The 13,584-nt window shown below is 37.5% G+C and overlaps 2 long non-coding RNA genes across 13 annotated transcripts in view; one reads left to right on the forward strand and one right to left on the reverse strand.

Moving 5' to 3' along the window:
* DIRC3-AS1 (DIRC3 antisense RNA 1) overlaps nt 1-13,584 on the forward strand; it is a 61,472-nt gene that overhangs the window by 31,527 nt on the left and 16,361 nt on the right. The gene's annotated exons all lie outside the window — the stretch shown is intronic.
* Nucleotides 1-13,584, reverse strand: part of DIRC3 (disrupted in renal carcinoma 3) — a 506,425-nt gene that overhangs the window by 30,241 nt on the left and 462,600 nt on the right. For 8 of the 12 annotated variants that reach the window (NR_186293.1, NR_026597.2, NR_186304.1 and 5 more), the window contains 3 exons: nt 11,587-11,711; nt 4,661-4,918; nt 3,707-3,942 (listed from right to left, as the gene is read on the reverse strand). This is a non-coding gene — a long non-coding RNA (disrupted in renal carcinoma 3). Of the gene's footprint in view, nt 1-3,642; nt 3,943-4,660; nt 4,919-11,586; nt 11,712-13,584 lie in introns of all 12 variants that reach the window. The other 4 variants (NR_186298.1, NR_186301.1, NR_186300.1 and 1 more) reach the window with 2 other exon arrangements.

The following is a 13,584-nucleotide window of genomic DNA, read 5'->3' on the forward strand; positions in this document are numbered from 1 at the left end:
TACTCCTTTAGCCTGTAGAGACAGATAGGCTAGAAGAGACAGGTCGGCCCCACGTTTACGATGTGTCCACAGAATTATTTATGGTTTGTTTATCCACTCAATGTGGAGCAATTGTGGCCTGTGACTTTCAGCTCCAGGGTGCATTAACAGATTTAGGGGTAAATTGGCAGTGTCAAGCTGCATAGTTGTACTGGGCTTTTCAGCCTCTCCCCATAAAGCAAATATAGCAATAATCCCAGACACTCAGGCACAGTGGCATTTCTAGAGAGACACCAATGACCCCATTAGTCGAGAAGCTGTGGGAAAGCCTGAAACAGGTGAGAAAGCGATGAAATTAGGAAAATGAAGTTCTCTGATCATCAGGCTCAGTGGATGGGTGCAAGTGTGGCAGACATGGTACAAAAGATGTGGACCATGAATTGGCACCATGATTTCAAGGTACTAGAAAACCAAAGTTTGGTGGGGCACCAAGGCAAAGTTTCTAAGGTCCTGTGGGCATCAGTGCATACTGCTGGAGGGTCAGTTCTGCATCAAGGAGATACATTTCTGCAATGATATAGGCATTTGAAAACCCTTGTACACTACAAACAACAGGATTGATGGAAAAGTAGGATAGGAGATTCTATCCAAAGCCTACCTAGGGACCAGAGCACAAACAAAAGCAATCACTGGGCGCTCAGTGTCACTGGACATTAAAAATACACAATGACAGTTGGTGGACATGTTGGCAGCCCTTCATTCAGAGCAGGTCTGATGGGTGCTGGGCAGTGCTGATGATAATGGAGATCTGAGCTGTTGGGTCTGCTCTTAAGGTGGCCAAAGAGCAACTGCAATTTGCCAGCAAGCGTCTGGGGTGAACTTCTTGAGGAAGAAGGCCTGAGTGCAGTGAAAACTTTTTAATTTATTTTCTTCCTTCTTCCCACTGTTCCATGTTATACTGATATTATTCACCCATATGTCAATGGTATACATTAATTCACATTACAGAAATGCTAGCAGTAGCAGAAGAGTCCATATGAGACAAGTGTATGGCCTGAGGCCCTGGGAACTAAAGCCCGAGTGCCTACAAGATATGCTCATAAGTTTCTAGGGCCCTGAGTGGTTTCCAACAAAGAGCCTGGATTTGACTTTGAGGCTGACAGGTAGAAGTTAAGCATGCAAAGCCTTAAGTAAGTAGTCTGTGCAGTGACCCAAAAGCTCAAAGGAATGGTGGGGTAGTGATATGGACAGGAGGCAGGGAAAGACTGGGAGGAAGAGGGCGGGGTCCTTAGCAAGGGCTCCACTCTCAAGCCTAGACCTGTGGGTCTAAATGACAACATACCTTCCTGTTTTCCTACCCAAATGTTGTCTTTTCCAAAACCACCCTGGCCCACTGTGCCCCCTACCCTGTACGCACAAAAAGTCCAAGCTCCACTGGCAGAGGAACAGAGTGGCATGACAGAGAAGGAGAGAAAAGAAGAAGCATCTGAATGTCGAGAGAAGTTCAGCCAGGGACAGTTGGAGAGGAGTTCAGCTGGGGATGGTTGAACTCCAGGGAAAGATTACCTTCCCACTGCATCCCCTTTCCAGCTCCCCATCCTGCTGAAGCCACTCCCATCACTCAGTAAAATCCTCTGCATACACCACCCTTCAATCCTTTCATGTGACCTGATTCTTCCTGGGCACAGGACAAGAAAAGAATTCAAGATGCACTGGGTGCAGGAACCCAGAAAGGCTGTCACACTGACTCTTCAGTGAGTTGTTTAACACTGAAGCCATCCAGGAATGGCAAAGCTAAAAGAAAGAGCCTTGTTTGTAACATATGCTTTCTGGGGCTCCAGAGGTCTCAGGCAAACCCTAGATGCTGCCACAGGCTGGTACGGGGTTTGTTTATGCCAAATGCCCAAAGGTACTCACCCCAGCTGCTGCACCCACTCACGTGTGTACTCCTGCTCCCACAAGGGGTTGGAGGGTGGCAGCCGAGTAAACGAGCCACACCCTTGTCACAAGTCCCACCGAGGGGTCAAGGAACTCTCCTGTCTCAGCAGGGGATCAGAGATTCTGGGAGATACTGAAGAAAATGGAGCTCACTTTCCAGACATTAAGGTTTTAATGACACTTTTAGACATGAGAAAGCAGGAAGGACTTGGTGGGCAAGAAAGTCAAAACAGAGATTTGACAAAGACCCATCTTTTTTCTGGTGCTGACAGATTGAAGGAGAAGGTAGAGGAAATAATAGCTGGATGATTTTTATGGAATCAACATTATTTAAATGCTTTCATTAAATTATTGTCAAGGAGGTATGGCTGTAATTGTGTATCACCTCCAAAAGAGGAGATAGTTATAAAGACCACCAAAAGAATTTCCACACACTAGGATTCAAAGGACTAGCAAAAGCATACAAAGTCAATAGCTAGCAAGTCAAAGACAAGAAGGGAAGAAACCCACCAAGAGTAACATGGACCTCCACTATGACTGATATTTCTGTCTGTTTTTCATGGCTCAGGCTTCTCCTCTGGCTTTTACTTGAACTTGTTCTAGATCATCAAATGATACCAACAGGACTAGAAGAGATATTGCACCTCCACAAAACAATTTATTCCCTGAAAATACTGGCTAGAGTAATCATAAGATCCTGAATCTGGATGGGACCTCAGTAGATGACACAGTCTAAGTCTCTGCCTCTGTGCTATATCCCCAAAGGAATTAGCAAGTAACCACAAAACGGAAGTGAAACAGGAAACCTTGAGTATTTCACATAGCATATTTGATATAGGGGGCTTAACCACACAGACAAAAATGCACAAGTCAACAAGTAAAAATTATACACTGTGACAATTTATAAATGATTGTTCACAACCAATAATTCTACTTTTAAGTATTAATTAACAAAATCTTTAGATCTGAAATATTTTTTAAGAGAAACCCTCAGGAATCCAGCAATCTAATTTAAGTACTTATTTAACACCTCTATTAGCAAACATCATACTAGATGCTCTGCAGGCCCGAAGGAGAATCCTTAGACTCCTTGTTCCCTATAATTTATCAGCGGCACATGGACCCAGGGTTTATGGAGTCTTCAGCTTACGGGGTCTTATGAGGGCCCTCTCAAGGAAATTAATACAAAATTACACATAGAAAATTGTTAGGTCCTATCCCAGGGCACTGGAAGAAACAGCTGTAAGTGAATGCTCTGAAGCTTAAATTCATTCACTTCCTGATAAATCTATGCCTGTTGTTTAGAATATGTTTCTTCAGGTGTTAAGGGCTTGAGAAAACAACCCAGGTCCAGACCCTTTCTTCTTCCATGCCTCGCAATTCACAGCATGACGTGGATCTAGCTTCGTCCTTACCCACCTCCCAAGACAGGAGTCTCCCTCTGTTATCAGGAACATTAGGTCGGCATCCTGGTGGGATGGGTTTGAAGAGGTGAGGGCTAGTTTTACTTTTTCCATTCCTCCATCTAGCCACACACAACCACACAAAATTCATTTACACAGTGGTATGAGTTAAGCACTGTGTTGTGTTGTAGGAAAATGGACACATCCATGTATTAGTTATCCATTGCAGTGTAACAAATTACCCCAATCTAGCGACTTCAAAACAACTCACACTTCTACTATCTGACAGTTACTGTGTGTTAGGAGTTCCAGCACGGTTTACCTGGATCCTCTGCTCAGGCTCCAACCAGGCTGCAAACAAGGTGTTGGACAGGCTGCTTTCTCACCTGAAGACTGGACTAGGGAAGAATCCACTTCCAAGCTCATTCAAGTTGTTGGTCGAATTCATGTCCTCGAGTCTGCATGAGTGAGGTCCCAGCTCTTACTGACTTTAATCCTCAGGTCCTAGAGGTGGCTCCCACTTTCCTGCCACTTGGCACTATCCACAGGGGCTTAACCAGGTGGCTGTTTGCTTCTTCAAGGCCATCAGGAGAATTTCTCTCCTGGTTTGCTAAGATAGAGCCTTATATAATAAAACATAATCACAAGAGTGACATTTCAGCACCTTTACATAACTACATAACTTTACATAACATAAACCAACCTAATCAAGGGAGTGTCCTTCCAACAACTTTGCCACACTGCGTTGGTTGCAAGTAAGTCACAAACCCACACTCAAGGGGATTACACAAGAGTGGATTATTGGGGTCTCCTTAAAGCATGTCCTCCACTATCTACTTTGAAACTTCTTTACAAAGCTTTCATTTTGATGATTTGTTTCAGATGACTGAAGCCCACTCTCATTAAAACTATTTGGAAACTGCTGTCTAGTGACATTATATTAAAGCCAATCTGTTTAAACAAGAAAGAGCAGTGCTCCCACTTGGTAGGAGATAAGACTCCTTACAGCCTCAGCTATCAACAACATGGCTTATGCTATTTCTTTATGTACATATCTATATATGTCCAGTGCATGCCAAATAAGGTCTGTAAGCGTTGAAACATAATAATAAAATGAACTCAGGTACCCTCATTCCAATTTAAGAGCTAAACCATTATGAACTCCATTCTATCTACCTATGTATTTCTTCTTATGCCATTCCCCTACCTCCCAGAGGTAACCAACCATTCAGTTGCTATAATTCATTTGCCTTTTTGATAATTTTGTGACACACATATTTAACAATAAAGGAGTGGTGTGCTATTGCTAACTTCTGAACTATAATAATGGCATCACATACCGCAAAGTGTTCTGAGGTTAGCTTTTTCCACACAACGTTATGTTTTTGAGATTGAGCTCTGCTGCTTCTCCTAGCTGTAGATCAATCATTTCCACTCGCACAATTCCACTGTGCAAAGATGACACAAATAAGTAGACGTTTTTATCAATGGGCATTTCAGTTCTTTTCATTTTTCACTGCCATGAATACTGCTGCCGTGAACATTGTCATGCATCTCCTAGTACTCATATGCAAGTATTTTTTTTCTGGCGTATGCACCTAAAAGTAAAATCACTGAGTCTTAGGGTATGCAAATATTCAACTTTACAAGGAATGACAAATTGTTTTCCAAAGCAAACTCTTATCAGCAACTTATGAGTTCCTTTAACCTATTTTCTCCTCAACCAGACTTCTTCATATGGCCAATTTAGAAGCTATAAAAGGGTATTTTATTTTTATCTTACTTTGTATTTTTTGAATATTAGTAAGTCTAAACATTTTATGTGCTTATTTTCCATTTGTATTTTCTCTTCTGTGAGATGCTGGTTTATTTCTCTGTTGTTTACATTTTCCTTCATATATTTGTAGAAGTTCTTCATATATTCAATGGTTAAACTTTTGTTAATTCTCGTATCAATAAAATAGCTTCTTATAATACATGGCTGGCTTTTCACTTTCTTTATATCTTTTAATAAAGAGACATTTTATTTTTATTATAGCGAAGTGTATCAATCATTTCTTTTCTGGTTAACCTTTCTGTGTCTTATTTAAGAAATTCTTACTTTGGGAGACTGAGGCGGGAGGATTGTTTGAGCCCAGGAGTTAGAGGCTGCAATGAGCTATCATTGCACCACTGCACTTCAGTCTGGGTGACAGATTGAGATCCTGTCTCTTACCAAAAAAAAAAAAAAAAAAAAAAAAAACGAAAGAAAATGTTTCTTCCATATCTCAAGGATAGGAAAAATAAAGATATTTTATGTTTTCAATTTTTTTAACTGAAAAACAATCTAAATGAATAAAGAACCTAAATATCACAAGGATGCAATTTTTCCTCAAAGAGATTTACACATTTAGTATAATTCTCATAGAAGAGTCCTAAATGATTTTTTAAAAACTTATCATCAAGTTTATTCTAAAATTTGTTTGGAAGAACAAAATGCCAGGAATAGCCAAGACATTCCCCAAATAAAAGCATACAGTAATTGAACTTGCCCTACCATATATCCTTATGTATATTTATATATAATTAAAATTATACATAGCTATGTCCATATATAAGTATATAATGTATATTTGTATACATATATGCGTGTATATATAATTTATACCTAACTCCATGTATTTATGTAAGTAAATATTATATACATAAATTATATACACTTAAAATATACTTATAAAATTATATAAGGATATTCTCATAACATGATTATATATATACATATGTGTATATATAGGATATGTACATGTATAATTATATTTAAACCCATGAAATATGTGTTAATCTTATCAAATGCTTTTTGGCCTCTATTGAGATGGTTATATATAATTTTCTGATGTTCAGTTCATGTGATGAATTAGATTTCTAAATTTCTAGTGTGAAACAACTACTTTTGTTTTCTGAAGTAAACTTAATTTTATTATACTATACCTTAGTTTATATACCATTCACTTTATTTTGTTAATGTTTTGTGTAGACAATTTTATATGAATGTTTGCATGATTGATCTGTAATTTTTTCTTTTTCTTCTGTCTGGTCTGATTTTGGAATCAAGATTATAGAGTGAATTAAGGAAAATTTTCTCTTTTATAATCCCTACAAGAGACCATTTTCTTGGAAGTTGTGAAATGCTGGAACTGATACTCAGTACACATAAGCCTACCTGTACCCACTGTTTAAAATTTACATCTGTTCAGATTGGGTAGGGTGCACACTGTACTCATTGAGGATTATTTTAAATTATGCCTTGCAAAACTTGCTTAGAAAGTAACTTGGGCTTGTGTTTTCTTCCCAGAATTATTGTTAGCAATGGATTGCATTTTAAAAATTTTTATAGAAATGTTCAGGCTTTCTATTTCTTCTTGAGTCCATTGTAATAATTTTTTTTGAGGATTTTTTTCATTACATCTAAGTTTCCAAATGTTTTGCCACAAACTTTTTCATGTTCTTATCTATTTTTTATACCTCTGCTATGTCTATAGTTATGTTCCTTTTTCATTTCTAATATTTTTATTTCTGCCATCTCTTTCATTCTCAATCTTGGCAGAAGTTGTTTCTCTGAAAACATTAATAGAAGAGAAGTTGTACTTTGTTGGTTTATTTATTTGTGTGATTAAATTTTGTTTCATAAAGTTTACTCTTATATTTATTATTTTCTTTCTTCTACTAGCGGAGATTTATTCTGTTTTATTTGATAATGACTTGTTTTGGATTCTTCTTTATATTTCAGTTACTTAAGTGGCTAAAACTTTATACCCTTTTTCCTAATATAACTTTCCTAAGGTAACTTTATACCTTTTTTCCTAATATAATTATATTAAGCTATAATTTTTCTTCTTAGCACTGTTTTCACTAGATGCTAAAAGTTGTATATGTAGTATTTTCATTCTACATTGTCTCCATCTTCTCTTTTCAGAAATTCTATTGGATGTATTTTAGATATTGTCATTATGTCTTGATATTCCTTAACACACTTCCCTGCTTTCTTATGATTTAATTGTAAGAATTTTTTAAATGCTATTATTACTCTTTTTTGACTCATGTTATTTAGAATTTTTAAAATTAATAAATATATGCATATATTTTAATTTTTTTTTTGTTAATCATTTCTTTTTTTTTTTTTTTTTTTGAGATAGGGTCTCCCTCTGTTGCCCAGGCTGGAGGACAGTGGCACAGTCTTGGCTCACTGCAACCTCCACCTCCTGGGCTCAAGCGATTCTCCTGCCTCAGCCTCCCAAGTAGCTGGGATTACAGGCACCTGCCACCATGTCCAGCTAATTTTTTTTTGTATTTTTAGTAGAGATGGGGTTTCACCATGTTTGCCAGGCTGGTCTTGAATTCCTGACCTCACTGCTCACCTTGGCCTCCCAAAGTGCTGGGATTACAGGTGTGAGCCACCATGCCCAGCCCCAATCATTTCTATCTTAATTGCACTTGGATCCGAGAAGATGAACTATAGATATCTACGTGTTAAACATTTGTTGAGACTTCTTAATATGGCCTGCAATATGGTCCATTTTCATAAATTTTTCACATGTGCTTCAAATGAATGTTTATTATTACTTTTTAGATACAATTTTCTTTAATGTCCATTAAATCAACCTTGTTTTAATATTCTATACTTCTTGTTATGATAACCATCATAAAAAATACAAAGACTTTCATTACTAGAGTTTCAAAAATGTACAATAATACTATTTACAAGAAAAGAAACACATCAGAAACCTAAAGATATGAAATGTCTGAAAATAAAAGAAGGAAAAATGAAATAATGGAAAAAGACATGGCAGCAAAACTAATAACCAAAAGAAAACTCTGGTATACATTGAAAATACAAGTAATTATTTATTAATATTATTTTACTTCTTGACCAATTAATAATTTAGATATATGAAGTATCTCATGATGACACATTTGTATCAATTTTATTTTAAGCATGGTTTATTAAATATAAGATCATAATTGTTAAATCTTCTTATGGAATTAATCCTTTTATTGTTATGTAGTGGAATTAATCCTTTCATTGTTATGTAGTAACTCTTTCTATTGCTGATAATTACTTTTATTTTGGATGTATACCAAAATTTTATTGTGGTTATTAGTTTTTCTGCTATGTCTTTCTCCATTACATCATTTTTCACTCTTTGATTTTCACACATTTCATGTCCTTATGTTTCTGATGAGTTTCTTGTAAAGAGTATCATTGTATATTTTTAAAGCTCTAGTATTGAAAGTCTCTGTCTTATTTATTTATTTATTTTGCGGAGACAGGGTCTTGTTCTGTCACCCAGGCTGGAGTCCAGTGGTACAATTATAGCTCACTGCAGCCTTGACCTCTCAGGCTCAGGCAATACTCCCATCTCAGCCTCCCAAGTAGCTGGGACCACAGGGCCCCACTACCATGCCTGGATAATATTTTTTATTATTTTTGTAGTGACAGGATCTCCCTATGCTGCTGAGGCTGCTCTCGAACGCCTGGGCTCAGGTGATTCCCCCACCTTGGCCTCCCAAAGTACACAGGTGTGTGGCTCACTGCGCCTGGCCATCTCTGTCTTTTAAATGATGGATTTAGTCCAGCCACATTGGCAAGATTGCTGACATACTATATTTGGAATTGTTTCTACCGTCTTCTTTTTACTTCTCATTTGTTTCCTTTTTTATACCTTTGTTTTTTTCCCCAGTCTTTTTTTTAGATTGAATATTAGTCTTAGCTATGTCGTCTGTTTTTCCAATTTTACCTTTATATTTATAACTTAATATTTTTAAAGCAGATACCTTTAACATGTATCATGCCCGGTTAGCTTTAAAATGCTTATTTATACTTTAGATATCCTTGTGAACAAAGTAAGGGTCTTTGAATATTTTAACTTCCATAACCCCTTCCTGACTTATATGCTTGATATTCACTATTTTGGATATGTCCTTTTAAAACCCCACACATCAGTAATTATTACCATTGTATATGTATTTATATGTTACATATATACTATATATATAATTTAATTCAGACAAGATTTATTAATATCAATGATTTTCATCCTAGATTGCGCTTACCTGGGAAGCTTTTAACAAATATTGATGTTTGAGATCCACCCAGGCTGTTTAAATCAGAATCATACTCAGGTGATTGTATCTAATAGGCAGGAATGGTTCGCAATCAACTGTTTAAATACCTCTACATGTTTGCCAATTTCTTTGTTCACTATTTCTTTTTGCTTCTCAGATATTCCCTCTGAAAAATATTTTTCTGTTTCCTGCAATACCTCTTTCATAAGTTTTTAAATGAAGTTCTATTGTGGCAAATTCTGCTTCTGCTTGTATAAAATGCATTTATTGTGCCCTAATTTCTGAAAGACAGTATTGATGGGGACACTATTTTTGGTTGACAATTTTTTTTTTCTGTCTTAGCTCTTTGGAGATATTTTTGTGCTGAGTATTGTTTTCCATTGTTGCTGTGAGAAGTCTTCTGACGTCTAAATTTCCCACATTTTTAGTTTAGTTTAGTGTCTTCTCTCTGGCTGATTTTATCTTGGAGTTCTAGATTTTCAATACAATGTATCTCATTTATGTATGCTTTAAATTTGTCTTTCTTGTGTTTCCTTTGTCTATCAATGTTGTTTGCTGATTGTGTTAGTCAGGGTTCTCCAGAGGGACAGAACTAATAAGATATCAGATGGAGATAATTGAATCATCATGGGAGCAGTTTCCCTAATCCTGTTCTCCTGACAGTGAGCTAGTTCTCATAAGAACTGATGGTTTTATAAGGGGTTTCCCCCTTCACTGGGCACTCATTCTTCTCCTTTCTGCTGCCATGTGAAGAAGGACGTGTTTGCTTCGCCTTTCATCATGATTGTAAGTTTCCTGAGGCCTCCCCAGCCATGCTGATCCATGAGTCAATTAAGCCTCTTTCCTTTATAAATTATGCAGTCTTGCGTATGTCTTTATAGCAGCGTGAGAACAGACTAATACACTAATCAGTCCTGGAAAATTCTTAGTTATTATCTCTTCAAAGACTGAATCTCTTCCATTCTCTCCATCTTCTCCTTTCAGAAATTCTATTGAATGTATATTATATATTCTCATTATGTCTTCATATTCCTTAACACACTTGCCTGCTTTCCTTGTCTCTTTGTGTTGCATTGTGAGTAATTTATTCATACATATCTTTCAGATAAATAATAATCTCTTCATCTGTGTCTAAAATACACTGAGTGTTTAACTTTGACGATTGTAGTTTTTATTTTTATTTGGATGTTTTTCAAATCTGCCTGGCCATCATATAGTCTCTTTGTGTTTTTTTGTTTTGTTTTGTTTTTTGTTTGAGAGGTCCAAATGAAGTAAACTGGATTTTTGCATGAAATATGGAAGTGTAATTTGGCTCTGCATTGGAACCTGTTTCTAGAGTCTCCTTTTCTTTTAAGTACTTTAGATGTTTTCTGATTATTTTCACCACCCCACAGTTTTTACATATCTCAAACAAAAAGAAAGGCATGACAATCTGTGAATTATGATGAGCATTAACAATAATCCCTTGGCAAAAATAAAATTCCAGAGTTTATCCTATCCATCTTGTGCTTTGATACAGAGTAGGTGTTATTAGTCAAGTGTTACCAGACAAGTGTTACCAGACAAGTGTTATGTACTCCTGATGTCATTTATCTACAAAATTGTCCTTTAATTTGCCTATAATTGCCCTTGGGCAAGCCTAAACCCCAGGACAGATTGAGTGCTCACAGCTTTTCACCCTGACCAATTAGGCACATTTACATGACTGCCCTACTCTGCAGCTCAGATCTTGTCCAGAAGCCCAAGAGAAACATTACTCAGTGTCAATCAGTAACCGGATCATGGTTCCAGAGGCTTAACTGACAAGTGATTTTTGCTGATTGAACAAAATATTTTTCCATAACAACACCATGTTGACTCTATTACTAAGCAAATCTCCCACTCTGGATTTTTGAGTATCATTAGAATACGGGAATGTGGGTGTGCTGCTGGTGATAGGAATGGAAAAAGGAATTATTTTCTACATGTTCTACCTTTTTCCTCAGCCCTTTAAAATATTACTGTACTGATGTGGCTCTCACCTGACTAAATCTCCCTTTTCTAGAGATGACGCATCCTCACTGTGTTGGACATAGGAGGCAAGTCCATACAATGACACCCACAGGTGATCACTGAGTGCCCCCTGACCAGGCTGTACTTTTCACCTAATGAGCAATCACCATACCTTATTTTTCTTTCTGATCCCATATAGCAGCTCTTCCAGGCATACAAACTAGTACAGTTGATTGAAGGTTCACTCGGTGCAAAAGCACTCTTCATATACTATCTCAGTTAATGCTTACAAGACTCCTGTGAAATAGATAATATTAGTATTTCCATCCTATAGATGCAGCACTTGAGCATCGAAAGGGTTAAAATACTTGCCCAGGGTCACATGACTAGAAAGTTGCAGAGCCAGACTTGCCAAAGACAGCTGCTGCCTTGTTTCATATCACCTAGCTTTACAGTAACACAACTCTATTATTTAAGATAATGATGTTAGTGTAGAGTGAGAATAAATAAGTAGTGGTCAAGTCTGGAAATAGAAAGGCAGATGAATACATTTACTAGGGAATTTTCTTTTGATGTATAGTTGTGACTTGTTTCGTCTTCCTTTGTGTATTGAAGATAAAAGTGTCAATTTTGTATTACTTAGAGCAGAGTTTCTCAAACCCAACACTATTGACATTTTGGATCAGACAATTCCTTGTTGTCTAGGGATGGGCTGTGCATTGTAGGATATTGAGCAATATCTCTGGCTCTCCACACTAGATGCCAGTAGCATTTCACCAACCCCAGCTGTGGCATCAAAAATATCTCCAGACATTGCCAAATGTCCCCTGAGGGGACAAAATCATTACCACATTGAGAATCACTAATCTAGGGGATCTCTGAGAGCAAACAAAATAATTGCTCTGCCTTGAAAATTAGACACTGCTGGCACTCAGTTGGGTGGCCCAAGTGAGAGACCCCAGGGAGCCTTCTTTAGTTGGAATGAGAGATTGTTCTGAACAAGAGCTGAGTCAGGACCCAGTGTGCCCATGCCCTCTTCTTAGTAAGAAAAGGAAGATGTAGGAACTTAGGGCACAGCCAGAGATCACTGGTTTGTTTTCCAGATTCAACTTCAGGGAACTTAAAATAAGTGTTCTGGAACAAATGCTTAGTGATGTAGAAGGAGGAAATAACACCTCTCATTTACTGGAATATCAGATCACTTACATCACTTAATTCTTAAGATAATCCAATAAGTCAGGTAGAATTTATCATTTCCATTTTACAGAATCAAAAAGGAATGCCTAAGAAGTTGAAAGACTAGCTCTTGGTTAGAAAGTGAGGTAACTGGAAGAAGGACATTGCTCTTTTTTTGAGATGGAGTCTCACTCTGTCACCCAGGCTGGAGTGCAGTGGTGCAATCTCAGCTCACTGCAACCTCCACCTCCCAGGTTCAAGTGATTCTCCTGTCTCAGCCTCCCAAGTAGCTCAGACTACAGGCATGTGCCACCATGTCTGGCTAATTTATATATATATTTTTAGTAGAGATGGGATTTTGCCATGTTGTCCAGGCTGGTCTCCAACTCCCGACCTTTCTATCTGACTTAAATGTTTATGCTCTTTCCAATCCATCCCAGGATTTTAGAGAGAATCTTCTAGAGATTACATGGAAACATTAATAGAAAACCTTCCTTTCATTCACTCTAGGCAGATGCTATGCTATCCACCAAGGACACAAACATAAAATCTAATCCCAGCCTTAAAGAGCTCAGATTAGTGAAAGAAAAAGACATACATAAAATATTTATAATACAGCATGCTAAACACAGTGATAAGGACATCCATGTAGATGGTACTATGGGAACATAGAAGAGGGAAACCCAATGCAGCCTTAGGAAAGTGATGGGGAGGGTTCTCAGGGAAGGCTTCATGGAAGAGGTGGTATGGGAACAGAGTTCAAAGATGTCAGGATTTGTCCTAGGAAATGACAAAAAATCTCACAATTTCCCACTGAAAATCAGCTGCTACAAATTGCAGTTTAGATATGACAACAGAAAAGTACACCAAACATTTTCATTAAAAGGAAAGACAGTATGTTGAGGGGAGAGACCCCAGCCTTCTTTGCTGGCACAAGGTGTATCATTTCTCAGCAGGTGCTGAGCAGGAAGACTGACTGCCATTTGTATTAGTC

Source organism: Homo sapiens, chromosome 2, assembly GCF_000001405.40.
Source record: "Homo sapiens chromosome 2, GRCh38.p14 Primary Assembly".
Taxonomy (NCBI): domain Eukaryota; kingdom Metazoa; phylum Chordata; class Mammalia; order Primates; family Hominidae; genus Homo; species Homo sapiens.